This window comes from Homo sapiens, chromosome 7 (genome assembly GCF_000001405.40).
Source record: "Homo sapiens chromosome 7, GRCh38.p14 Primary Assembly".
Lineage (NCBI taxonomy): Eukaryota > Metazoa > Chordata > Mammalia > Primates > Hominidae > Homo > Homo sapiens.
Genome location: NC_000007.14, coordinates 87195031 through 87221122, shown reverse-complemented (window position 1 = coordinate 87221122; position 26092 = coordinate 87195031). Strand labels below are relative to the sequence as shown.

At 43.8% G+C, this 26092-nt stretch overlaps 2 protein-coding genes and 1 long non-coding RNA gene across 63 annotated transcripts in view, besides 6 other annotated features; 1 reads left to right on the top strand and 2 right to left on the bottom strand.

Annotated features, from left to right (window-relative positions):
* TMEM243 (transmembrane protein 243) lies at positions 536 to 24963 on the top strand. 9 transcript variants are annotated; one of them, NM_001329472.1, is made up of 5 exons: positions 536 to 599; positions 1405 to 1697; positions 22066 to 22116; positions 23078 to 23182; positions 24365 to 24961. In NM_001329472.1, the coding sequence occupies exons 2-5, from the start codon at positions 1620 to 1622 to the stop codon at positions 24485 to 24487; spliced, it is 357 nt and encodes a 118-aa protein (NP_001316401.1). In that variant the 5' UTR covers positions 536 to 599; positions 1405 to 1619; the 3' UTR covers positions 24488 to 24961. The 9 variants fall into 9 exon arrangements, 8 of the variants coding, with proteins under 8 accessions (NP_001316401.1, NP_001397830.1, NP_001316402.1 ...); NM_001329473.2 differs by having other exon boundaries at positions 584 to 689; positions 24365 to 24963; NM_001329474.2 differs by having other exon boundaries at positions 584 to 762; positions 24365 to 24963.
* Positions 551 to 830: a silencer, noted in NCBI's record as "silent region_18345". NCBI's record gives its function as "represses an Ori minimal core promoter by ATAC-STARR-seq in GM12878 lymphoblastoid cells {active_cell/tissue: GM12878}" and the evidence as "EXISTENCE:reporter gene assay evidence [ECO:0000049][PMID:35858748]".
* Positions 1181 to 1270: a silencer, noted in NCBI's record as "silent region_18344". NCBI's record gives its function as "represses an Ori minimal core promoter by ATAC-STARR-seq in GM12878 lymphoblastoid cells {active_cell/tissue: GM12878}" and the evidence as "EXISTENCE:reporter gene assay evidence [ECO:0000049][PMID:35858748]".
* Positions 1941 to 2000: an enhancer, noted in NCBI's record as "active region_26230". NCBI's record gives its function as "activates an Ori minimal core promoter by ATAC-STARR-seq in GM12878 lymphoblastoid cells {active_cell/tissue: GM12878}" and the evidence as "EXISTENCE:reporter gene assay evidence [ECO:0000049][PMID:35858748]".
* Positions 4389 to 4508: an enhancer, noted in NCBI's record as "active region_26229". NCBI's record gives its function as "activates an Ori minimal core promoter by ATAC-STARR-seq in GM12878 lymphoblastoid cells {active_cell/tissue: GM12878}" and the evidence as "EXISTENCE:reporter gene assay evidence [ECO:0000049][PMID:35858748]".
* Positions 8412 to 8461: an enhancer, noted in NCBI's record as "active region_26228". NCBI's record gives its function as "activates an Ori minimal core promoter by ATAC-STARR-seq in GM12878 lymphoblastoid cells {active_cell/tissue: GM12878}" and the evidence as "EXISTENCE:reporter gene assay evidence [ECO:0000049][PMID:35858748]".
* LOC105375384 (uncharacterized) lies at positions 18369 to 23405 on the bottom strand. Its single transcript, XR_927722.3, has 2 exons — positions 19897 to 23405; positions 18369 to 18943 (listed from the first exon to the last, which is right to left on the bottom strand). It is a non-coding gene; the product is annotated as an uncharacterized LOC105375384 (long non-coding RNA).
* Positions 18923 to 19460: an enhancer, noted in NCBI's record as "NANOG hESC enhancer chr7:86830979-86831516 (GRCh37/hg19 assembly coordinates)". NCBI's record gives its function as "activates a minimal SCP1, AML or CMV promoter by ChIP-STARR-seq in primed H9 embryonic stem cells {active_cell/tissue: H9 hESC(primed)}" and the evidence as "EXISTENCE:reporter gene assay evidence [ECO:0000049][PMID:30033119]".
* DMTF1 (cyclin D binding myb like transcription factor 1) overlaps positions 24798 to 26092 on the bottom strand; it is a 43873-nt gene continuing 42578 nt past the window's right edge. For all 53 annotated transcript variants that reach the window (NR_024549.2, NR_024550.2, XM_047421106.1 and 50 more), the window contains one exon: positions 24798 to 26092. Coding sequence is in view for 51 of the 53 variants with exons in the window: in XM_047421106.1 (XP_047277062.1) it covers positions 25983 to 26092 (110 nt within the window). In the remaining 2 variants the exon portion in view is untranslated.

Genomic DNA, 26092 nt, shown 5'->3' with positions numbered 1-26092 from the left:
TGACGTTGTTACTTTTAACGACCTGTCCACCTCCAGTTGTCTATGCCCTAGAGCCTGGAAGACGAGATTGGTATGCGAAGCGCTGGCTCCACAGCTGCAAACTTGCTTAGTCAGCACCATCACTGGCGGCATGAGTGGACAAGTCAAATAAGTATCTAGCACTGTCGCCTCCTGACTTTCTATAAACACATAAGATCCCTGTCACAGAACAAATCAAGGCAAACATGCGAACAACCCTAAACCAAAATTACCAGTGACTGCCATTCTGTCCTCGTTAAGCGAAGACTGAGGTGGTTAAAGCAGGTTGATTGTTTTTAAGATGCTTTCAGCCAGGTGCAAGGCTATCTGCAGAAATGTGCTTTGCCCACGTGGATCGCATGGACACTAATTACTAAGGGCTAAGGAGCTGAGAAACGTGCAGCCGCGGAGATTGGCCGCCCCACGGGGAATAAGCTGGCACCTCTAGAAATAAAGCTCCGCAGCCAATGCGGCGCCTTGGCCCGCGGGATTGGCGGCCTCGGTCGTGACGCGACCTGGGCGGGCCGACTTGCGACGGAGGCAGCGGGTCCGGGTCGGGGGACCTGAGAAGGAGCCGGGAGGTGATCCGCAGCGCTGCGACGGGACCGCGCGATTCCTCTCCCACGCATCTGGCCCGCGTTCCTGGGCCTCGGCACCGGATCCCGGCGGGGGTGTGGACCCAGGGCCCACTCTCCCCGGCGCGGCCAGGGCCCCCCAGCGTGCGAGCGCCTAGGGGATGCCGAGGTTTGGCGGGCGCGGGACCAATATGGGCAGGGCCGAGGCGGGATTCTCCCTCTCGCTGTGCCTAGACCGTACTCCTGCTGCAGTTCCGGCAGAGAGCGCGGGGAGAGCAGCGGCGGGAGCTGCGGCGAGCACGCCGGCCCTGGGGTAGATGCAACACATGAGAGGGAATCCAAGTTGCTTGGGTCGGCCCCGGCAGCGACCTGAACCCGCCGCCCTGCGGGAGGGGTGTGCGGAGCGCTGGGCTGTGCTCCGGCAACTTCACTCCTCCCGCCGCCACTGGGGAACGTAGTGGGGGAGACGCAGAAGGCTAGGCGAGGGGTTCTCAATGCGTTCTTCCAAGAAAACTTTTTCTCCCTTGAACATGAAGGAATACGTGCTTACCGTAGAAAATTGGGAAAACATGGGAAATTATTGTGTAAAAATGGGGGGCGACGTGTGGGAGTCTCTCCCGGGGCGAGGGGACTGCGATTTGCTGTGCTAGCCGGGGGCGAGCGGCGGGCGGCGCTACCCTGGCGGCCCAGAGGGGCGGAGAGCCACGCGGCGCCAAGGGCTGAGATTTGAGGAAGTGGGAGCTGCCCGGGCGGGGGCGTCCCGCTGAGAGTCTGCCACGCAGTGTTTGTTTCCTTTCACTTCCTGCGGCAGCTGCTCAAGATGAGGAGGTGCGCGGGGCCGGGGCGGAGCAGTCGCGTTCCCCGCGTGTGAGCCCCCACCCATCCCTGGCGCCAGCGCTTCCCCGACCACTCGGGTTCGGCTATGCGGGAGCCGTGAGGAGGAGGCTTGCAGTCGTGGACCTGAGACCTCGGGAGGTCATGCTGTCTTGCTTTTAAGTGGCTTGGGGAAAGTGAAGAAACCCCAAAATGGAGGACTTTGCTACCAGGACCTACGGCACCAGTGGCCTGGACAACAGACCTCTGTTTGGGGAGACGTCCGCCAAGGTGAGTGCGGATTGTGACTCCAGACTGGGATGGGGGGTGTGTCTGCTGCCTGCCCTCTGGCGGAGTCCGGGCTGCGTCTTTCTGCGGCTCCTAAAAGCACTTTTAGGGAGGAAGCTGGTTCTGCAATCCCACTTCCCTCTCAAGATGTTTGCCCGGCCAATCGTCGCCTGCTTTGGGACATGGTTGGCTAAGAGCCTTGAAGGCTGGAGTGGAGAAAAGTTCAGAAAGTTCGGGGTTGTTGGAAGCCCTTCTGGGGAGTGCGGGAACCCCCTCCGGAGGGGAGGTTGATTTAGTGGTTGTACAGCTGCACCTCCAGCAGGAGTACTGACCCTCCAGAGACTTCAGGTGTGCGCCCAGAGCTTCCTGAGAGAGCCGAGAAGGGGTGCTTCTGATTCCTGTTTACATAGAACTCATAAGGGTTCATTGCTGAGCAGTGAAGCAGCCAAGCAAGGAAAGGGGAGAGGCTTGAGGTGAGGGATTCTTGAATGATGGCCTCCATTCCAGGAAGTGATCAAGGGGTCCCTGAACCTGAACAGGCTACCATACGTTATTCTAGGCTTTAAAATGTTTAACACCTTTTAAAAAGGATTAATTATGTGATGTCTTGGGCCAACAATTGAGGAGAGATCTTTTTCTATCGTCAGCATTAACTTTCTGAGTAGTTTGGGCAAGATCTGCCTGGTTTATTTTTTCATCTAAAAGTGGCATTGGTTGGCTGGTCCCAGTGCAGTGGTGTTGACAACTAATTGATCATAGCCCGTTACAGATTTCTTTGCTCCTTCTCCAATCTCCCTGCTTCACTTGACTGGCCTAAAAGAAGGAAAAAAAAAAAAAAGTGGCATTGGTGGTCTTTGACCTCTGATAAAGTGCTTTCAACTCTCCAAAGGTAATGCACGTGTAGAGTCCAGAGCTTCCGGGATTTCTTAGTTTTGGCAGGAGCCCTCCAGCAGATAGGATAGGGAAGTGGTACACCTGGCAGTCTGGGGAATAGCCCTGAATTTGGAAGCTAAGAGGCTGCCACAGGACTACTTTATTTTTTAAACTCCACGTGGATTTTACTTTCTCTTCTCAAAATGTTTTAATATGAAAGCGTTTTAAACTCGATCTCCAGGAAGATGCACCTTGTTCATCTTGTGGCTTTGTATAATCCCAGCCCACAGTGCTCCTGGTTTGAGACGCATTCCTCCTCCAGTAGATGTTCCATCTTAGGCAAACTTTATTGACCATTATGTACTTGGCCCTGGGGAGCCAAGGAACCCTGTCAGGTGGAGAAAAAAAACGTAGACAAATGTGATGTGGTTGGATCTGTGCTACGACAGGGACATGTTAGGGTACAGACAAGAACTGGTTGCTTTTGTATGAGAAATTTGTCCATCTGTCCCAAGAACTAAGAGAGTGCCTCCCCAGCGTGCTTCAGCACATAGATTGGGGTTCTGGGTGATCCAGACCTTTGACCTCTTTTAACTCATAGCTCTTGTAATTATAGAGGTAGATGACTTGGTGTAATGGACTTGTCCATTTATGCAAACACTTAGAAATATTGATGTTTTCTGAACAGCTTGGGCCAAAACGTCCAATGATTTCAGTTTCCTATTGCCCATGATCCATTTGAAACCCATTCAAGAACTTTATTATTCCAAATGTATCTTTTATTGCGTACTTACTTACTACAAGAATATATCACACTGGGATTATTTAGGAAACTTTAGGGCATTGTAATAATAGCTTCAGCTATTCAGAGAAAAAAGTTAATATATATTAATTCCTGATCTCTCAAAATTTCTCCCTTTAGCTCCCTCTGTGAAGTTGACAGGGTGATTGGACATAGATAAATTCTACAGAATGGAGAAGGGAGAGAGACCCCTGGTCTGAGGTGGGAGAAAACATGTATCTTATAAATGGAGATGCCACATCTGAGAGAGGAGAGGCCTCCATATGTGTTCACAGCAAATGAAGATTTGAGGGCCTGAGGAGGGTAAGGCCCAGGAATGGAGCCTCAATAGTGAAAGGGTAGGACACATTACAGTGGAGCCATTTCCACAGAGGCAGCAACTGCTAGAGCAGGATCCTGGGGACACTGAGAAACCCATCCCTTGCTCTTGTGTGTGGGTGTCTGCAGCTTGCTGTTTTACATGCCAGGAAACGACACAATAGCCACTTCACAGTGGAAACTTGCTGTTAGTGAACTACAAGTTCTGAGAACATCGAGAAAGAATAAAAGCCCAGTTCCTATCCTAGTCTCACAGGTGGTTTCCTTTGCATTTTGTAATCTTACTTGCTTTATGAGAACGGACACATATAGCCTCTCAACTTTAGGTGCAAGCTCTAAGGCAAAGAGAACTGAAGCTCAAAGAGCAGAGAAGAGTCTAGAGTATGTTTGTGTTTCCTCAGTGCCAGGCAACATGGTGGGCATTCAGCTTTCCCTTGTTTGATCATCAAATTCCTTTGTGAGATGGGTGTTCTTATTTCTGTTATACAACTAAGGAAGTGGAACCCTCAGAGACAGTTACGTGTTCAGTCATACAAGTAGTTTCCTCTGGTAATGCTTCACTAACTCCCTTTCATGAGTTGAATAGTGAAGTCAGTAATTAGGCAGTTTTTGCTTCTCAAAGTGCTCCAGACATCTGCATACCTGTTGCCCTTTCACAGAAAATAGGGGTTGAAGTGGTTTGCCCCAAGTCGTGAGGTGAGTGAGGGATAATGAAATCTATTATAGAACAATGACTATTAATATATAACTAAGTTGGCCTTGAGCAGCACCCTCTTGGGGAATCCCTGAAGGAACTTTTTTTGCCTTTATGGGTGCTGAGTGCACATAGTGATTTCAGTTACTGAAATTTGTTCAATCTTTAGCATGAAAATTGTTCATTCTAAGTTATTCCTATTTAGGAATAGCTTTACAGACATAGTCATGGAGAGAAAGGCAAAGTGAAACAGTTCTCTATTGTTCCATAAATATCTAAGGGATTTTTTTGTCTTTGAGGCAGTGTCTCACTTTGTAACTCATATCGGAGTGCAGTGGCCTGACCACGGTTCACTGCAGTCTCGACCTCCTGGGCTCAAGCAATTCCCCCACTTCAGCCTCCTGAGTAGCTGGGACTATAGGCGCCTTCTACCAAGCCTGGCTAACTTTTTTTTTTTTTTTTTTTTTTGAGACGGAGTCTCACTCTGTTGCCCAGGCTGGAGTGCAGTGGTGCAATCTCGGCTCACTGCAAGCTCCGCCTCCCAGGTTCATGCCATTCTCCTGCCTCAGCTTCCCAAGCAGCTGGGACTACAGGCACCCACCACCACACCTGGCTAATTTTTTTTTGTATTTTTAGTTGAGATGGGGGTTTCACCGTGTTAGCCAGGATGGTCTCGATCTCCTGACCTTGTGATCTGCCCGCCTCGGCCTCCCAAAGTGCTGGGATTACAGGCGTGAGCCACCACGCCTGGCCCTTTTTAATTTGTTGTAGAGATGGGGCTTCCTGTATTGCTCAGGCTGGTCTCAAACTAGTGGCCTCAAGCGATCCTCCCACCTCAGCCTCTCAAAGTTCTGAGATTATAAGCTTGAGCCATCGTGCCTGTCCTAGGGATTATTGACAAGACAAAAAACGAAAGGTGTTCATCTTTTGTAAGAAACATAGACCTCATTCCTTGATACCTATGGAATTTTCATGTTAGGTTGGCTATCTTATGAATCCTAGTTTGAATGCCCAGATGCTTTTTACATCTTTTTTGAACCATTCCCAAGTTTTGTGCTATAGTACTTCTCTTTCAGGTGAAAAATATGGCACAGATACCAAGATGATAAGAAATATCTGAAGTTTCCAAGCCTGTGTTATGGCTTAGCATTTTCTAAAAGAGTGCTGTCCAGTAGAAATATGATGTGAGCAGCCATATATGTAATTTACATTTCTTAGTAGCCATATGAAAAAGTATAAAGAAACAAGTGAAATATTAATAATTTTATTTAACCCCTTATTTCCAAAATATTAATACTATCATTTCAACATATAATCAATATTTAAAAAAAAATTTTAAACTAGGCATGGTGGCTCAGGCCTGTAATCCCAGCACTTTGGGAGGCTGAGGTGGGAGAATCACTTGAGCCCAGGATTTTGAAACCAGCCTGAGCAACAAAATGAGATCCTGTCACACACACACAAAAAATTAGCTGGGCATGGTGGCACCCACCTGTGGTCCCAGCTGCAGGCTCGCACCACTGAACTCCAGCCTGGGTGACAGAACAAGACTCTATCTCAAACAGAAAACAAACTGAGATACTTTTACAATTTTTTTGTATGAAGTCTTTGAAATCCAGTATGTATTTTACATTAACAGCCCATCTGAATTCACGCTAGCCATGTTTCAGATGCTCAGTTACCACGTATGGCTAGTACAGGCGATGTCCCAAATCCAAAATCCGAAATGCTCCAAAATCCAAAACTTCCTGAGCACTGACTTGATGCTACAAGTGGGAATTTCCACACAAAAGTACTTAACACAAACTTCATTTCATGCACAAAAATTTTAAAAATATAAAATTGTCTTCCAGGCTATGTGTGTAAGGTGTATATGAAACAAATTTTGTGCTTAGACTTGTGTCCCACCCCAAGATCTCACTATGTATATGTAAATATTCCAAAGCCCGAAAAAATATCTGAAATCAGAAACGCTTCTGGTCCCAAGCATTTTGGATAAGGGATACCCAACCATTTCAGACAGCTTAGTTTTAAAGCAGCTGAAATGTTATGGTGATTCCATAACCAAGTTTGTGAAACATTTTTCTTTGTTGTGGGACTTTGGAAGCTTTAATATGCCAATTTTCATTGTGACTATAGTTGGTGAGGGTGGATGAGTAGCACTTTATAAACTGTTTAGGTGGTGTGGCCTTTTTAGCCCTAGCACAACGCCTTACTCAATTCTTAACTCCAGCTCCCTAGAGCATTCACTAGATACGTTTCTGCAGAATATACTTTGGGAAACATGGTTCAATGAATCGCCTTCCTCTGCTTTTCCCTCCCATCCTGCCCCCTAGGGTAAACTAAAACCTGAAAATGTCCTCCCCTCTTCTGCCCACAACTACCTTTAAAAGTTTTCTTTAGTACAAGCTTTAGTACACAGTTTGGACAGTCTTTCCCACTGTCTTGTGTTAGAAGAGCACTAAATTATTCTCAGGGCTTGCGAGTCAGTCTTGATCTCAACTTATTAGCTGGCTGTGGTATCATCTGAAGTCAGTTTCAGTCCATCTAGACTGGTGAAACTAGGAGGAGAGGGAGAGAATGGTTTTCTCGAGAAAGCAAAGCAGCATCCCATAGCTAGGGCAAATGGGAAAAGAAGGAACACTCTCCACTTGGTGCCATGTAGTGCAAACGAGTTTCTAAATCAGCCCACTCTGTGGGTGGTCACTGATCACAAAATAAGTGACTCATCCTCTAAGAAGGGTGGTGACAGTTCTTGCTCCTTTATTCCTTCTTGGATGTGATATATAAAGTCAATGATTTGGGGAGAAGGTACATACACTGAATTCCTCAGTAGATACCATAGTGAGAGGGAGGCCCTCTGTGGAGGGGGCAAGTGTAGTGGGCTCTGAGGCTCAGATCTTTGGTTCCAAAGACAAAAGTATCTTCCTTTATCCCCATCCCCCCAATAAAAAAAAAAAGAAGAAAACAAAGACGGTGAAAAGCAAGGGCTTTTTATGATTAGTGTTAGTCAAGCAATTCAAACTTGGAGCATTTGGCCTCTGCAAATAATCATGTAAGATTAGAGTTGCTACTTCATGCCATTTTTGTTGTCGCTTATTTAAGAACAAGGATCAGTAGGGATGGTAATAAAATAATTTTTAAAAATGCAAAGAAGAGAAAAAGAATAAAGCTATGATTAAGATAGCTGGGTCTGTGCCAGCAGCCCCTTCCTCTGTCTTAGAGCTACCAATGCTATTCTCTGAGGAGTGCAGGCTTTAGTTTATTTCCTCTAGATAGAGCTTCTAGGTGATCAAGCACAGCTATTTCTCTCAAAGGAGGGTTAGTCACCCAAAGGTGAAACAGTTCTCTCCTCTCCTCTCATTCAGCCTGCCAAAACAACTTTGCCTTTTTTTGTGTGTGCTAGAAAAGTAATTAAGAAAAATAAATGCCATCACTTTTTCTTTAGTACTCTAAGTTTTCTCTCTTCCACCCCTAGATCAGTGGACTGTAATCTCTGGGTGTGGGGCCTAGGCACTGGTATTTCTGGAAGGTCCTCAGGGGATGCTGGTGCATAGGAAGGGTTGAGATGCACTGGCCTTACTCTTGCTGTGTGTAAGCCCAGTCCAGGCTAATACCTCTCCATGGACCCCTTCTTTTAGCTGCCTCTTTGCTCTTCATAAATGTCGTTCTCCTTTCTGCTGTGTCCTCTCTTCTCTAAATATCTGAATTCTGCTCAGTCTGATTCCCTACTTTAGAACCTTCCCTGTAATCCAGTCTCTTCTCACTTTCCTTCTGTGAGCCTGGCTGTCAAAGATGTGCCCTGGCACTTACTCCTTGTGCTGTGAGGGACTTGTGTAGGTCTTGCCTCCTAACTATAGAATAAGCTCTTCTTTAATGGTAGGTGCCAGTTTCCTCATTTTTGTAGCCTTTTTAGCCCTAGGGACAATGACTTACCAAGTTCTTGATTTCATGTATATTAAGTTTTAAGCAAAGTGAGAATTTAGCGTTATCAAAAAGTAACCTACATTCTTGGGACATTCTGAGCTCACAGTAGAAGGCAGGGACTGTTTAGAAACCTGGATATGCTAGATATCAAAACAGGAAATGGTGCTTCAAGCTCTCATGCAATTAAAATCATTTTTCTCTTTTTCTTTCTGCTAAGTTGTATGTAGCAGAGGCCAGTAGTAAATAAAATATTGTATTAAAAAAAACTTAAACTGAGGTCTGGTCTCTCAGAAGCTGATGGTCTACTGAGTTTTCTCTGGATGTGATTTTTGCTGGTCTTTGGTAATATCCTTTGCTTACTGAATTGAGTCACTTTTTTCTTATAGTTGGCTCATAGGCTATGTATGGGTATAGTGACCATATTTTCTGAGTTGCTGAAGGGACATATGGGTGGATAAACCTCAGTGTCCCTGTGAGAATGGTGGAATGCATTTGAAATTGGAGCTGCCATAGAAATTGGGGCCAGGGTGTGAAGCCAGCTCAGCTCTCTCAGCTCTGAGGAGCCTGATCTCTCATTGGTAAGATTCCCCCTTAGACATGGTATAAATAGTGCAAATACCATATTAGCTGCCATTTACTGACCCTCTACTGAATGTCAGATACTCTCTTGTAGGGGCTTTCTATGTATTCTCTTCTAATCCTTATTACGACTTCACATGGTAGACATTGTACAAATATGAAAACTAAGGCTTAAAAGTTGTAACTTTTAAAATACAGGTCCACATGTAGCAGTGGAGGTCATGTGTTTGGGAGAGAATCGAGTGTAAAAGTTGTAAAGGGTGGGTGTGCCCAAATTCTCATAAATGCTTTCTCTTGCACATCCCGTGCTCTCGGCACTGTTCAAAGTCTGGTGTTGCTTTGGGAAGTCTCAGAGCAGTAGTACCTATGGGTCATAATTCGCGGCGTCCTAGAGTTAGCCAGTGAGACAGAATGTCTCCTTGCTTTCCACCTGTGTGGCTGCTATACCTCCGGTTGTCTCTAGTGACAGTGCAAGGGGAAGCTCCTGTACAGTCAGAGCCATGCTGCTCTGAGGGACCCATATTAAATCCCTGGACACAGGGCCTGAGGTTTCTTTATTCAGCTGGGCTCAAAATAAACCTTCTCCCACATTTTGCATCCTCTCGTTATGCTTTTTCCTGGCCCCTTAGGCTTCTGACTGGGCCACTTACACAGCTTTCATGGTGAGAAGTTGTGATTTGGAAGAAGAGAAGCAAAGTCATTTCTGAGAATCAAACTTTTATTTATGGTATTGGGACCCTTAAGTTTGCTTGAGAAATGCAGAACTTTGGAGGCAAAATTGTAGGATGTGGCTCAAGGGTCTGAATCACTCAGTCCAGGTAAACAATGGTAGGAAGTAGCACCCTTTGGGCATTTAATACCTGCTCAATGTGTTGCCTTGCTCTTTCCCCATCCCAGGAGAAGACAATCACTGTCTTCAGTGGCCTGAGGAACTCGTGGGTAGGGAGGGTAAGGGATGAGTATAAAATGGGATTGAGCCTTTTATAAAAGGAAGAACAAAGTGCCTGGAGGTATTGTTCCTAGACCAAACTGAGGGTCAGGCTGCTATTTCTGGTGGCCCAATAATGAGATGCAGTTGAGGAGCTGAATGTTAATAGGTAAGACAATGGGGAAAATGTCCCCAGGGAATTTCAGAGAGCTTCACAGCAGCCCCCACACTACAGGCCCTGAGGCCTGTCAAGGAAAAATGGTTTTGTGGATCAGGTCCTGGACTCCAGTGCCCTGTGTCACAGCTGCTCCAGCTCCAGCTGTGGCTAAAAGGGGCCAAGATATAGCTTGAGCTGTTGCTTAAGAGGGTCCAAGCCCCAAACCTTGGTGGCTTCCACGTGCTGTTGGGTCTGTGGGTGCACAGAAGGCAAGAGTTTGGGAGCCTCCGCCTAGATTTCAGAGGATGTATGGAAATGCTTGGATGTCCAGAAGTCTGCTGCAAGGGGGAGCCGTTATGGATTGCATTGTATGCCTGGAAAAGCCACAGACACTCAGCGCCAGCCTGTGAAAGCAGCTGTGGGGGCTGTACCCTGCAGAACCACAGGGCCATGTGGAGTTGCTCAAGGCCTTAGGAGCCCACTCCTTGCATTAGTGTGGCCTAGATGTGAAACATAGAGCCAAAGGAGGTTATTTTGGAGCTTTAAGACTTAATGACTGCCCTGCTGGGTTTTAGACTTGCATGGGGCCTGTAGCCCCTTCATTTTGGCTGATTTCTCCCTTTTGGAATGGGTCTGTTTACCCAATGCCTGTAACCCCCATTGTATCTTGGAAGTAACTAACTTGTTTTTGATTTTACAGGCTCATAGGTGGAAGGGACTTGCCTTGTCTCAGATGAGACTTTGGACTTGGACTTTTGAGTTAATGCTGGAATGAGTTAAGACTTCGGGGGGACTGTTGGGAAGGCATGATTGGTTTTGAAATGTGAGAAGGACATGAGGTTTCGGAGGGCCCAGGGGCTGAATGACATGGTTTGGCTGTGTCCTTACCCAAATCTCATGTCAAATTGTAATCTCCACATGTTGAGGGGCAGGGAGGGACGTGATCAGGTCATGGGGGCAGTTTCTAATGGTTTAGCACCATCCCCCAGTGCTGTCTCATGAACGAGTTCTCATGACATCAGATGGTTTAAATGCATGTGGCAGTTCCCCGCTCCCACACGCTTCCCCGCTCCCGCCCTCCCCATCTGTCCCCCCTTCCCCTCCTCTGTCTCTCTGTCACCTCCTCCCCCTCCTCTCTCTCTGTCCCCCCTCCCTCTCCTCTGTCTCTCTCTCTGTCCCCCCTCCCCCTCCTCTGTCTCTCTGTCCCCCTCCTGTTTCTCTCTCACTGTCCTCTCTCTCTGTCTCTCACTCTCTCACTGTCTCTCACGCTCTCACTGTCTCTTGCTCTCTCTCTCTCTCGCTCTCACTGTCTCTCTCTCACTGTCTCTCGCTCTCTCACTGTCTCTCGCTCTGTCTCGCTCTCACTGTCTCGCTCTGTCTCGCTCTCACTGTCTCGCTCTGTGTCTCGCTCTCACTGTGTCTCGCTCTCACTGTGTCTCGCTCTCACTGTGTCTCGCTCTCTCGCTGTGTCTCGCTCTCGCTCTCTCTCGCTCTGTCTCTCACTGTCTCTCTCGCTCTCTATCTCAGTCTCTCTCTCTGTCTCTCTCTCTCTCACTGTCTCACTGTCTCTCTCACTGTCTCTCTCTCATTGTCTCTCTCATTGTCTCTCACTTTCTCTCTCACTCTCTCTCTCACTGTCTTTCTCACTCTCTCTCTCTCTCTCTCACTATCTCACTCTCTGTCTCACTCTGTCTGTCTCACTGTCTCAATCTCTGTCTCACTCTCTTTCACTCTCGCTCTCTCATTCACTATGTCTTTGTCTCTCTCCCACCTCTCTCTCTTCCCCTCTTCTTCCCCCCTCTCAACCTCTTCTCCCCAGTCTCCCTCATTCCCACCCTTTCCCACCCCCTCATGCTGCCATGTAATATGTAGCTTGCTTCCCCTTCACATTCCACCATGATTGTAAGTTTCCTGAGGTCTCCCCAGCCATGTGGAACTGTTATTCAGTTAAACCTCTTTTCTTTATAAATTACCCAGTCTCAGGTAGTTCTTTCTAGTAGTGTGAGAATGGATGTAAAGGCTTCAAGGGTAGGACTGGGAACCTGAGGAAAGCTGGAGCTTCAAACCACTTCCCAGAGAGAAGCAGGGGCAGTCCACCCAAAATAAGAGGCCATGGAAATACAGTGAAGGCCCAGGTGAGGATAGAAAACATGAGTTTGTAGTAAGCCCAGTTAGTGTGTTATTTCAACTAATATTGATTATCTCTCCTGCTAGCCATCGTGGTTGGCAGAGGGATATGGCCAGGGCCATCACCCAGCCATACGGTGGCACCTTTGTACAATCGTTAGAGTATTTACACCCTGGGTAGTGGGAGCCCTCAAAAACATGTGGCTTGGCTTTGTCTGAATTAGAAAAATGTGCTGTTGCCTCTGGGTAGATGCAGGCTGATGCCAGGCTGCAAAACTTGGAAAGTGCAACATTGGGCTGAACTTCAGCTATATAGCCATATACGGTGGCCCAAAATTCAACAGTGAACAAGGAAGACATGGTCCTTACCTTCCCAGACCTTCCAAGGTAGAGGAAGAGACAGAGGAGTAAACTGACATTTGTAGTTAGGATAGCTTAAAGACTTCAGAGCAAGGCCTATTGCTGGTATCTAGAAGTGGTTGGAGGTTTGGGGGTGACCTGGAGCTGGGTTTTCAAAGAAAGTATCAGAATTGTACCCTGAAAAGCACAGGGGCAGAGCCGCCCAAAACCATGGGAACCTACCTCTTGCATCAGCATGACCTGGATATGAGACATTGGAGCTTTAAAAATTGACTGCCCTGCTGGTTTTTGGATTTGCATGGGGCCTGTAGCCCCTTTGTTTTGGCCAGTTTTTCTGATTTTGGAATGTGTGTATTTACCCAATGCCTATACTCCCATTGTATCTAGGAAGTAACTAACTTGCTTTTGATTTTACAGACTCATAGGTGGACTTGTCTCAGATGAGACTTCAGACTGTGGACTTTTGAGTTAATGCTGAAATAAGTTAAGACTTTAGGGACTGCTGCAAAGGCATGATTGGTTTTGAAATGTGAGGACATGAGATTTGGGAGGGGCCAGGGATGAAATTATATGGTTTGGCTGTGTCTCTACCCAAATCTCCTCCTGAATTGTAGCTCCCATAATTCCCATGTGTTGTGGGAGGGACCCGGTGGGAGATGATTGAATCATGGGGTTGGTTTCCCCCATACTGTTCTCGTGGTGGTAAATAAGTCTCATGAGCTCTGGCTGAGTACACAGGGGCATGAGCTCTGTTAGGATGCAGTTTGCTCATGTGGAACAGCTTCCCAGGGGTAGGATGTCTGACAGAGGAGGACACTTGAAGGTGTGAGGTCTAACCTGGAAATCGGATTGAGCACCTGGTAAGGGATGTGGGTCTATAGGACTCCCTGCGATGCTGTCTGAGGAGAAAGACTTTTGTAGAATCACATAGAAAGTTTAGAAGTAACACCAAAAATGGAGTTCTCAATCTTCCTCCACCCTCTACCCTGCCTTCTCCCTCAAGAATGTAGTAGGGAATGTCTTCATGGCATTGTCCATCCAGGCTTTTGCTTTTCTTTTTTTTTTTTTGAGACGGAGTCTCGCTCTGTGGCCCAGGTGGGAGTGCAGTGGCGCAATCTCGGCTCACTGCAAGCTCCGCCTCCCAGGTTCACGCCATTCTCCTGCCTCAGCCTCCCGAGTAGCTGGGACTACAGGCGCCCGCCACCACGCCCGGCTAATTTTTTTGTATTTTTAGTAGAGACGGGGTTTCACCGTGTTAGCCAGGATGGTCTCGAACTCCTGACCTCGTGATCCGCCCGCCTCGGCCTCCCAAAGTGCTGGGATTACAAGCGTGAGCCACCGCGCCCGGCCGGCTTTTGCTTTTCTGCAAAGACTTTTCTCTGTTTTGCCTTGCCCCTCTCTGGGAGTGTTGGGGAGCATTGCCGAAGGATTGATTTGTCAGCTGGAGTTCAGAGCTGTGATGCCTTATAAATCAGTCCTTGGTCCTGCCCTAGCAGAAAGTAACTGGGCTTCTACTCAGGAAAACGTGGACCTCAGAGATCCCCATTGTTTACCATTGATATTTCTTTGGGAACAACAGAGCCTAGCCTGGGAGGTATCTGTTAGGGTGTTGCACCTTTGTGGCTGGCAGACCGTGACCTGTTGGTCTGCAGGATCAGGCCACAGCTTCTGTGGTGCCATTGCATGCCTGCCCTGCAGCAGTGAGGCACATTATGTTCCTATTGATAGGCCAGGCCCTAAGTGGTAAGATGAGATGAATGGTCTCTACTGGTGAGAGGCATTCTAAAGAAAATACCGTTGGCCATTTCTGCTTTGAGTCTTTCATTTAACGAACATTCATTGAGTGCTTACAGTGTGCCACACTGTCAAGAAGGAAAACAAGTGTAGTAGTTCCCACTAATTCACAGCTTCACTTTTCTAGGCTTCAGTTACCTGTGGTCAGCCATGGTCCAAAAATATTAAATGGAAAACTTCAGAAATAATTTGTAAGTTTTAAACTGTGCACTGTTCTATGTAATATGATTAACTCTCACTCTGTCCTGCTCCTGCTGGGGATGTGAATCATCCCTTTGTCCAGTAGATGCTACCTGCCTGTTAGTCACTTAGTAGCCATCTCTGTTATCTGATTGAAAAAACAGTATGTATAGGGTTTGGTACTATTTGTGGTTTCAGGCATCCACTGGTGGTCTTGGAGTGTATCCCCTGCCGGTAAGGGGGACTACTTGTAGACTGTCTTTCCCATCATTAAATGCCAGTGTGGGACACAAGCAATACATTTTGATGCAGTTAAGTGTAAAGACTGAGCAAAGTGATGTGGGTGCTCTGAGGGGAGGTGCCCAGGGTGGTGTCCAGAAAGGATTTACAGTGAAGTTGATAGTGTTGAGTTCTGAAGGATGATGATATGGTTTGCCTGTGTCCTCACCCAAATGTCATCTTGAATTTTAGCTCCCATAATTCCCACGTGTTGTGGGAGGGACCCGGTGGGAGATAATTGAATCATGGGGGCAGTTTCCCCCATACTGTTCTTGTGGTAGTGAATAAGTCTCATGAGATCTGATGATTTTATAAGGGGAAGCCCCTTTTGCTTGGCTCTCATTTTCTCTCTTGCCTGCCACCATGTAAGACGTTATCTTTTGCCTTCTGCCACTTGAAACTGTGAGTCCATTAAATCTCTTTTTCTTTATAAATTACCCAGTCTCAGGTATGTCTTTATCAGCAGTGTGAAAACGGGCTAATACATAAATTGGTACCAGGAGTGGGGTGCTGCTGTAAAGATACCCGAGAATGTGGAAGCAACTTTGGAACTGGGTAACAGGCAGGTTGGAACAGTTTGGAGGGCTCAGAAGAAGATAGGAAAAGTTTGGCACTTCCTAGAGACTTGGAGGGCTCACAAGACAGGAAGATGTGGGAAAGTTTCCTTCCTAGAGACTTGTTGATTGGTTTTGACCAAATGCTGATAGTGATATGGACAATAAGGTTCACGCTGAGGTGGTCTCAGATGGAGATGAAGAACTTGTTGGGAACTGGAGTAAAGGTGACTCTTGTTATGTTTTAGCAAAGAGACTGGTGGCACTTTGCCCCAGCCCTAGAGATTTGTGGAACTTTGAACTTGAGGGAGATGAGTTAGGGTATCTGGCAGAAGAAATTTCTAAGCAGCAAAGCATTCAAGAGGTGACTTAGGTGCTGTTAAAAGCATTAAGTTTTAAAAGGGAAACACAGCATAAAAGTTTGGAAAATTTGCAGCCTGACAGTACAATAGAACAAAAAAAATTCCTAAGGAGAAAACTTGCAGCCTGACAATGCAATAGAAAAAAAAAAAAAATCCTGAGGAGAAATCTAAGTCAGCTGTGGAAATTTGCACAAGTAAGAGGAGCCAAATGTTAATCCCCAAGACAATGGGGAAAATGTCTCCAGGCCATGTCAGAGACCTTTGAGGCAGCCCCTCCCATCACAGGCCTAGAGGCCTAGGAGGATAAAATGGTTTTGTGGGCTGGGCCCAGGCCCCCCTCTGCTGTATGCCGCTTAGGGACTTGGTGCTCTGTGTCCCAGCAGCTCTAGCCATGGCTAAAAGGGGCCAAGGTACAGCTCAGGGCATGACTTCAGAGCTGCACATGGCAACTTCTATGTGGTGCTGGGTCCGCAGGTGCGCAGAAGTCAAGAATTGAGGTTTGGGAACCTTTGCCTAGATTTTAGAGGACATACAGAAACACCTGGATGTCCAGGCAGAGGTTGCTGCAGGGCCAGGGCCCTCATGGAGAACCTCTGCTAGGGCAGCAAGGAAGGGAAATGTGGGGTTGAAGCTCCCATACAGAGTCCCCATGGGGCATTGCCTAGTGGAGCTGTGAGAAGGCCACCATCCTCCAGATGCCAGAATGGTAGATTCACCGAAACTTGCTCCATGTGCCTGGAAAAGCCACAGACACTCAAGGCCAGCCTGTAAAAGCAGCTGGGAGGGAGGCTGTACCCTGCAAAGCCACAGGGGCAGAGCCACCCAAGACCATGGGAACCTACCTCTTGCATCAGCATGACCTGGATGTGAGACATTGGAGCTTTAAAAATTGACTGCCCTGCTGGTTTTTGGATTTGCATGGGGCCTGTAGCCCCTTTATTTTGGCCAGTTTTTCTGATTTGGAATGTGTGTATTTACTCAATGCCCGTACCCCCATTTTATCTAGGAAGTAACTAACATGCTTTTGATTTTACAGACTCATAGGTGGACTTGTCTCAGATGAGACTTCAGACTGTGGACTTTTGAGTTAATGCTGAAATGAGTTAAGACTTTGGGGGACTGTTGCAAAGGCATGATTGGTTTTGAAATGTGAGGACATGAGATTTGGGAGGGGCCAGGGATGAAATTGTGTGGTTTGGCCGTGTCTCCACCCAAATCTCCTCCTGAATTGTAGCTCCCATAATTCCCATGTGTTGTGGGAGGGACCTGGTGGGAGATGACTGAATCATGGGGACGGTTTCCCCCATACTGTTCTCGTAGTAGTGAATGAGTCTCACAAGATCTGATGATTTTATAAGGGGTTTCCCCTTTTGCTTGGCTCTCATTTTCTCTCTTGCCTGCCATCATGTAAGACGTGCCTATCACTGTATGCCATGATTGTGAGGCTACCTCAGCTATGTGGAACTGTGAGTCCATTAAATCTCTTTTTCTTTACAAACTACCTGGTTTTGGGTATGTCTTTATCAGCAGTGTGGAAACTAATACAGATGAGTAGTCAAAATTGGGAGTAGCATTTTAACCATGCCAGAGCTTGCTTTTTTGGGAAATGAGTTGACATTATGCCTTTGGGATTTTTTTATGGACCAATATAAGAAATGATTGTGTATGAATTATCTATATTTTCTGTGTACCTAGATTTGTTCTGACCCATGGGACAAATTCTTTTTAGAGCCAGGAGAATTTTGACTCTATCCAGTATGCTTACTTTTATTATTAGTTAGAACTTAAAATTCTGTTGTACTTCCCACTTGGCTGTCAGAAATCTTCATACAAACATTTGCGTTTAAATGAGAAATGTTTTTTAAGACAATTTTTTTTTTTTTTTTTAAGATTCTCATTCTGTCCAGGCTGGAGTGCAGTGGCGTGATCCTTGCTCACTGCACTCTTGACCTCCTGGACTCAAGTGATCCTCCCACCTCAGCCTCCCAAGTAGCTGAGACTACAGGCACATGTCATCAAACCCAGATAATTTTTATATTTTTTTTGTAGATACAAGGTCTCAGTATTTTTCTCAGGTTAGTCTTGAATCCCTGAACTCAAGTGATCCTCCCACCTTGGCCTCCCAAAGTGCTGGGATTACAGGTGTGAGCCACCATGCCTGGCCTTTGTAGATTCTTTAGCTTTTTTTCCCCCCCATTCCACCATTCCCCAAAGCCTTTTCGAAATTTTGTCTTGGTCTTTTTATTGTTGGTTAGTTAGGTTAGGGTTTTATTATAGTAGCACATGCCCTTGAAATTCATTTTGGAAGTAGGCAAAACATTGCCATGGAAATGGAAGGCTGAATACAATGTCGCTTGTAAGCATTCCAAACTGTTTAGAACCAGGATATTTCCAGGGAGCTGAGGAGCTGAGGGCAGAGCTAGCTTTTGGTTATTTGGGATGTTATTGCCAGTTTCCTCCCAGGGCCATTGTTACCACCTGATCATTTGAGTTTTAGTTTCTCTAGCAGATGCTGGCTAATGACTGACCAGGCAAGTATAGGGGTTCTCTGGCTTTTAATCACTAGGGGATTAGTCCTTCTCTGGCCCAAGTGCAGTCTGGTGATTCAGAACCATAAAGTGTAAGAACTGAAAGGGACCAGGTATCATTTAGCCCAGTCTTCTCATTTGATAGAGTCAAATGGGTTAAGGAATCCTTTTGAGGTTACGAAGCTAGCTAGTGGCAGAATGAGATGAGAACCTTGGTTTCTAGACCGTGTTAAGGTCTGTATTTATTAGTTTTAGGACTGTTAGACCTTTTGAACTGTTCATTACACTTGTCTTTTGTGAACAGCATTGGATAGGAGATTTTTTGCCATTACCTAGCCGTGTGACCTTTGGCAAGTCAGTCTTCTGGAACCTAGTTACCCATTGGTAAATAGAGATAACACTCCTTACTTGCTTTCCACCATTCCAGATACAAACCAGTTGCATATATCTCCATCTTTTTCTCCTTCCTCATTCTAAAGGAAGACAAAGACATGAATCCGTCAGGCCCAGGCTCTTCACTGTGCATTGCATTCCAGCTCTTTTCCTCTCAGCTCTCATGAAACTTGGTCAACAATCTCCATTTGTCCCATTGATTTTTTGTAACAGCAATGCTTTTGTTCTCCCATGGGTCTTTGTGGAATTCCTTTCATGAACCATCTTTCCTTTCCTTTTCATCTGCTAGTCTTCCTCAGGGTTTTGACTTCTCTGGTAGTCTCTCCTTGACTGTCCAAGATAGCTCACTTTCTGTCTTCTTAGTGCCCTCCTGAACTCTGGATAGTGTAAACTTCTGGAAGGTAGAGATGTTTTTATTCACTTTTGTATTTGCATCTGAATTATAGTAGATAATGTTTAAATGCATAAATATATGACTTACAAGATGATATAGGTGAAATCTCAACTATATATATACATGTATGTATGCACACAACGTCTGTCTTTATGTTCATGTATATATGAATTCAGACTATCTCTAAACCTGTTGCAGAATATTTTGTCTCTGGGAAGGAAATCCTAAATCTGTATCCTGTCCTCTCAGCAGGCAAGGATCCAGGCTAATTGCCATCCTTTGTCCTGTCAAGCTTCCTTGTGGAGTGAAAATAAGCCACAGTACAAGGTTTAAAATTCTGGTAGGAGAGACAAGTTATGGTAGGTAGAACTAGAGTGAAAATAAAACTGGGGAGGAGACAGAGCTAGTTTCTGTGAGAAATAATTGAGTTAATAGAGACTAGCTGTAGAAGTAGAAATAATGAGTTTCAATTTACTCCATAAACAGCAAAGTTTAAATGTATTACTCACTTTTCTCCATGTACTCTAGCTCCAATTTGGAGCATATTATTCCCCAAACTGTCCTTTGAAGTGTTAATTAACTAGCTATTTAATTATTCTCTATTATCCTCTTTGGAGATTGGGAGCTAGAAGAGCTGCTAAAACCCTGAAAAATAATCTCTAGGCCCAGGGAAGGAGCTGTACCCTGTGATTTGAACTTAATATTTAAAAATGGCTTATTTTAGACTAAACTTTAGAGCACAGCCTCTCCATTTTAAATGTGCACATAAATTACCAGATCCTGTTAAAACGCAGATTCTGATTCAGTTGGTCTCAGTGAGGCCTAAGATTCTGCATTTCTTGCAGTTCTCTCAGGTGAGGCCGATGTGCTGGTTCATAGACTACACTTTGAGTAGCAAGTTTAAAACAGAGAGCATTAGAAGTAGGAGGGCTTCTGAAGTTAACTCTGCATACCTGAATTCATGGTTGATAGAAGGCCTTGGCTTGGAGAAAGAAAATATTCTGAGAAACACTTCTGCCATGTCCGAAATAGTTCATCCCATCTTGGGAATCCCAGAGGGGACCACTACATTATAACAATAACTGATATTCATGAAAATCTGTTGGAATTCTGTTCAGTGACTATCTAAAAGGTAGGCAGGAAAGTATTCATTAAAGTTTAGATATATTTTCATCAGGATGATTAAAATCAGTTATATGGAGAAATCCAAAAATGTGGAACAAAGTCACCCATGAGGAAATCATTCTTGAAAGGTAAGCACAGTGTAGTACTTTGCTAATAGGCTTTTTGAGGTGTCATCTGCCACTTGACATCTTTGTCTAGACCAGCACTAGCACTCTAGGTTGTTCTTTGGGTGAGAAGCATAAATAGGGAAAGGAGGCCTGGCACTGAATCTTGTCTTTATCACTTAATGGTATTGAGATCTTGGGAAAGTTCTCAGTTTCCCTGAGCCTGTTTTGCTACCTGTGAAACAGTCATATTACCATTTCATCCTAGAATTTTTAAAGAGAGGATTGGTGAATGTGCTTGGCATAGTTAATATCCTTTTACCATTATTTTTCTCCTACTTTGATCCTGGTAGGCAACTTGCTGTGTGTCATTTGGCAATTAGTGATATATTGGCTTGACTTCTATTGGTGGGAGCTGTTATGAGGTATGCAGTGCTTCATTTTGGAAATCCCTGGCGCTCAGAGAGCAGCAGATATTCTTGCTTCTCAAAAATAGTGGGGCTCCCATGGATTTTGTCTCTCTACACATTTTATGTTGTCCCATGTGGGAAGAAGTTAAAGTGAGTGGTGACTTGTCCCTGGGTCCCTTTCCTAACAAAGTGGTCCTAAGTTCAGGCTCCTGTGTGCTGTGTAGGCTTCTCTAGCTGAGGTCGTGGTAAGATCTCTTCTGAGTCCTCTGGAGTTAGGGTGTGGCTGGAGTCCAGTATCTTTTGTTCTGTAACCTTTCAGTTGCAGTGGCCTTGGTCTGGAGAGTTGTGATTTGTCCTTGGTTAGATCACACACATCCAATACTTGGCTTTCTTACTCTTTCCCTCCCAATTTTGCCTGACTCTTAACTTCTGTGGGTTCTTATCCTTAAAAGGCGACTACTTGGAAATGAGAATTCGGTTGCTGCTCTGTGATTGTTCCTGTGTCCTTCCCATCTCTGAGGTTTTGTTTATTGGCGGCATGTTCCATATCCTGCCATTCTCTGCTCAGACCATTATCAAAACAACATTTAAGACGACTGATTCGTTAAAGACTCAGCTTTGACTTCTCAGAAATAAGACTGCATGTCACTATCATACTTTACCTTTTTAGTAGTACCTGAAACTACTTCTAACCAGTGACCTGGATTTAGGAATCTCTGGTTTCAAAATTGCTTCTAACTTGTTATGACTCTTAGAAAATAATTTAACCACACTGGGCCTAAATTTAGTTTAACCTGTAAAATTAGGATTGGATCAGTTTTTCAAACATTCTTTGTTGGTTGGGGTGGGATGGGAATGACAAGAAAGCTCAGTAGGTAGGTTCTTCATTCAACCAATATTTTGTTTATATACTAAAGCCCTTCACTATTAAATAACTTGGAAAAACTACTGGACTGGATGGTCTCTTAAGATTGCAAGTGCCAAGCCTTGGCACTCTAGGACCCATCCCTTTTAACAGTAGCATCTATTTTTAGACTAGACAAGGATACCTAAGCTGTATTACAAATATAGTTCCAGACACATCATGGTACTCTACATCTAGTCCGGTTCCTGATACCTTTAACCAATGCTCTGGCCTGGCCATTCCTGCAGTGCCTGTCCTTCTCCTTTGGCTTATGCTATCCTCAGCAGCACATGCATTATTTGTAAGCCTCCCTTACCCATTTGATACTACCCAATCAAGACTCTAGTATAAATGTTCTGTCCCTTCAAGAAACCTTCCCCAGTTGGCCATTTTCCCAAAGTACATTTTCCACTCTTATGGTTCAGTACACTTTGCTTTGTCTGGTAGTTTTATGTGTAAAGCTCAGAGGACTGGATCTTGGGTTTCTTTATAGTAAACCATCCAAATGCCTTGCATTGTACTATACTGAAGGTAACATGGATCCAAGTCATATGGCTTAAAAATTCTTTTCTCTTTCAGGATCGAATCATCAATTTAGTTGTTGGCAGCTTAACATCCTTATTGATTCTAGTAAGTATCCTCATTTTGTGCCTCACCCAGGCTCTTAGCCAGTTTTGAAAACTTTATCAATTATGGTTAACTTTCCAAAAAAAGCTAAATAAGTGCTTTTAATTTTATTACCACAAAATTGCAGTTGCTAATTGGAGTAGCTAATTTAATTCTGCCCCACCCCCAGGTTGAATATGTGAAATGGTACAAGTCAGACAACTTCGTTTTAAGATAATTGAGTTTACCATGTTTTGCCTAGTAAATTTGTAAAAATGTCAGTGGCTAGTAGCCACTTCCTTCTGTCATCTACCATAATTCCCCATTTCTATTTTGTTCCTGAAGAACATATCCATTACCCTTTGGTCAAGTTTTAAAAGATTTGGTCACAGTGTATAGTAGTTGTACTGTATACATCCTGTATACAGTATACATCTGGGAGCTATTACAATAAAATTTTTAAAAGCTGTATTTTCCATAGTTTGACATTTTTCTGGCACATTAAATTTAAGAGAATTTTTTTCCATGGCTTCTTAATGAAAAGATTGCATATAATGCTGCATCTGTTAGAAACAGAACTATACAACATTAGAAGTCTTTCAGTGTGTTTCATAATGTTATAGCAAAACCAGCTTTGATTATATTCATTTTGCTAGAAATATTTAAAATAACAAAATGGCTAGAACTTTTACCAGCAGAATCATTAATCCTGGGAGTGAGGTTTAGTTAATGAAGTTATTTTGGCATCAGCTAGTATTACTGATGTTTTCTCTCCTTTCATAAGTAAGGGAAAGTTTAGAAAAGAAGTACTAAAATAACTCGAACATATTTATAATTACTGTATTAACATTCTAGAAAGCAAACTTGGTGGCAGATGTAATTTTATAACATGAAGCATTTTGTAGTACTGTTGCCTAGACTCCAGTTGGTAATTACCAAGTCTTGGAATTACTGTTAAGGCCTTACATAATTTCTCTTCATACAGGTAACGCTGATAAGTGCTTTTGTTTTCCCTCAACTACCTCCAAAACCGTTGAATATATTCTTTGCTGTCTGCATCTCTTTGAGTAGTATTACTGCCTGCATACTTGTAAGTACTGTTGAGAATTTAAACAGTGTTCTTGAGGGTTTAAGTTGCAATGCACAGGACAAAAATTTTCAGCCTTGGGTCTATACAAAAGGGTATCTCTTAATTATATCCTCATCCTCCCCCTAAAAGTATGTTAGAATTCTCAATAAAATCTGAGTCTTCTCCTTTTCTCCTAAATCCCAAAGTTGTAACCCCAAAGAGAAATTCCACTCCCTTGATAGCTTAAAAAAAAAAAAAAAAAAAAAAAAAAAATTAGTGGAAAGACGTAGGTGGCCAAAGATTTTAATTTACTTAATTCATCTTCACTCAAGGACTACGTAAGGGCCAACAGTCTTTGGGAAATGCCAGTTACTGCTAAGGGAAGAGATAGAGCACTCTGGATTTAATTCTAATTATTACAAAATTAGTTTAATCTACATGTTTGTTTCCCAAAATGGAGGTATTAACACCAAAACCTCCTGGGAAATCTAAAGCTGCAGTTGTTGTAAAAATGTTTGATTTACTGCAAATGTTTCTTTTATGGTGAAGAAACAAAGATGGTGGTGGCTCCTCAGTGTTCATTCATTAGTTGGCTACATTGTTTCATGTTCCTTTAGAGGCAGAATCAAAAGAAAAAACAATAGTAATTTGCTTATCTGAGTTAAAATTAATTAAACCAGGAGACACCTCCAAGTGTTCTCATTCACTGATCCTGCTATATACTCCCATGACCCGAAGAAGAACTAGCCCATCCCACTTTGGGAGCTTTCCTGTTCCCCTAGCTTGAAGCCTAAAGTGACTAACAGACAATGAACTAGTTTAATCCAAATATATTATGGAAGCCCTATTTTACGGTCTGAACCAACTGTATGAATCATGAGTCTAAATGTTGTCTTCCTTTCCTGTTAAGTAGTATGCCCAGGTATATGTTCTTGGATAGCTTGCCAGATGACTGGTGGAGTATACAGGTGTGAATATAGAGGAAAGTAAACTGAGAAAGTAGGAATAAGTATGATCTTGGATGTGGAAACTCAGAGTAAGAATTAAATTCTGGCTGTACTGATCTCAGGAATGTAGAGACCTCAGAATATGGAGAATGTCTGTCTCATTTAGGGGAATAAACAAATACTAATGAAATTTGAAATTGGTAGAGAAAATGTTATATTTCAAATTTTAATTTATAAACTTTAATTCTTCTTTTAGATCTACTGGTATCGACAAGGAGACTTAGAACCGAAATTTAGAAAGCTAATTTACTATATCATATTTTCTATCATCATGTTGTGTATATGTGCAAACCTGTACTTCCATGATGTGGGAAGGTGAGGCTGCCAAGGAGAAGTACTTACCAGGACTCTTCAAAATGATACATTAGGACAGTGAGTAATTTTTGGATAAGGTATGCTGAAGAATCTCCTGCAGAAGTCTGATACATGATTTTCATGTTAATTGTAAATGTTAATTCCCTCTTGCAAGGGAGACATATCCTAGATCACTTTGCTTTTTCTTTAAGGAGCTGATGTTGCACCTAAACATTCCAACCCTTAAAGCTAAAACAGCACAAAAAAATTTCACTTTTGAAATGAAATTTTTATAATTGTATGGCAAAAGGCTATGTAAAAACAAATCTTGCATCTTAAGACAAATATTCTTTTATTTCTGTTAAACTGAATATACAATTGTTCCCTAGGCAACCAACTTTTGCTTATAACTACAATTTAATTTCACGTTGACAAAACACAGTGAAAAGACAACTTTGTGAAGATCTAATTACAATAATAAATAAAATAATTTATACAAGGGTTTTTTTTTCTTGACTTTTCTATAGGGGTCATATTCATTAAAAAGCCCAAAAGGCTACCTTTGCCTTAACCCTTCTGTAGTACAGGAATGATTCTTAGATTTGTTTCCTTTTGTTATAGAAGCAAATATTGTTTTTTTAAAATAGCCTGAGATGAGAGGTTATATTGTACCCCACCAGCTAACACACTAAGTGGATGACAAACTATTCTCTCGGTAATTTATATAGCAAAACATCTAATAAATGGTCATGGTATCAAGGATAGGTAACATTACTTCCTTCCTCATTTAGTTTTACTTCAAAGTGCTAACTTTGTAAACTAATGACAGTGGTTTCTGAGGGGGTGAAAACTGCTTAGATTCTGGTGGGTTTTGTTACTATGCTTATCCATATTCCCTTTAAAAGTAACAAAAAACCTGTAGTGAATTTTAACTTTTAATGCTTTCCTGTTTACCCTGCCTAAATCAGCTCCCACTGCCAGCAATGGGTTAACCAAATGTACCACCACAAGACCACCTCCTAGGTCTCTATACTTGTATGCTGGTCAAGTCTCAAACTTAGTCTTCTTGAAGATCAGAAGATCACTGGTAAGCTCTAGACCATGTTGAAGACCATGTTGAAAAGACTCATCTGAACTACAACCAGGCTTGAGAGGAGACAGTGCCATGTCTGATCTTTAGAGAAACTGTACTTTAAACCACAGCAGTTAAGCTTTCGTGATTCTAAACTTTTCTTAGTGGCTGAAGTGAATGAAATTCCTTATTCCCATGTAACACTAAACAGGGATTTATGCTTAAAACTCCCAGCCTCCACTCAACTACATACTGTCATAAAACTCAACCTCAGATGATGTGTTTAAAGGAGGTAAAAAGTCATAGCAGCAACAATGTGTGTGGCTTAAGGACTGTGGCTATTTAAATTGGTAAATTAAGCCTCTTGGGGGTTGCTCCTATTTCTTTGAAGAGGTTGTAATTAACAGTGTGCCTTCTTTGCTTGAACTGCCTATTTCTAAGAATTATTCTAATGACAGTTTACCAAATCTTCGACATCCTTTGAATCTTCTGAAACAGGACTGCCCAAGGATGATCCAATGATATTTGATTCTTCCTGATGATGTTGGAGTATGGGAT

What these genes read in the sequence shown, in the direction of transcription:
- TMEM243 (XM_005250586.4), top strand. Translation starts at nt 1,620, where the DNA reads ATGGAGGACTTTGCTACCAGGACCTACGGCACCAGTGGCCTGGACAAC. An exon ending in TTGGGGAGACGTCCGCCAAG is followed by an intron (nt 1,698 to 22,065) that starts GTGAGTGCGGAT and finishes TTTCTCTTTCAG; the next exon opens with GATCGAATCATCAATTTAGT. An exon ending in TAACATCCTTATTGATTCTA is followed by an intron (nt 22,117 to 23,077) that starts GTAAGTATCCTC and finishes CTCTTCATACAG; the next exon opens with GTAACGCTGATAAGTGCTTT.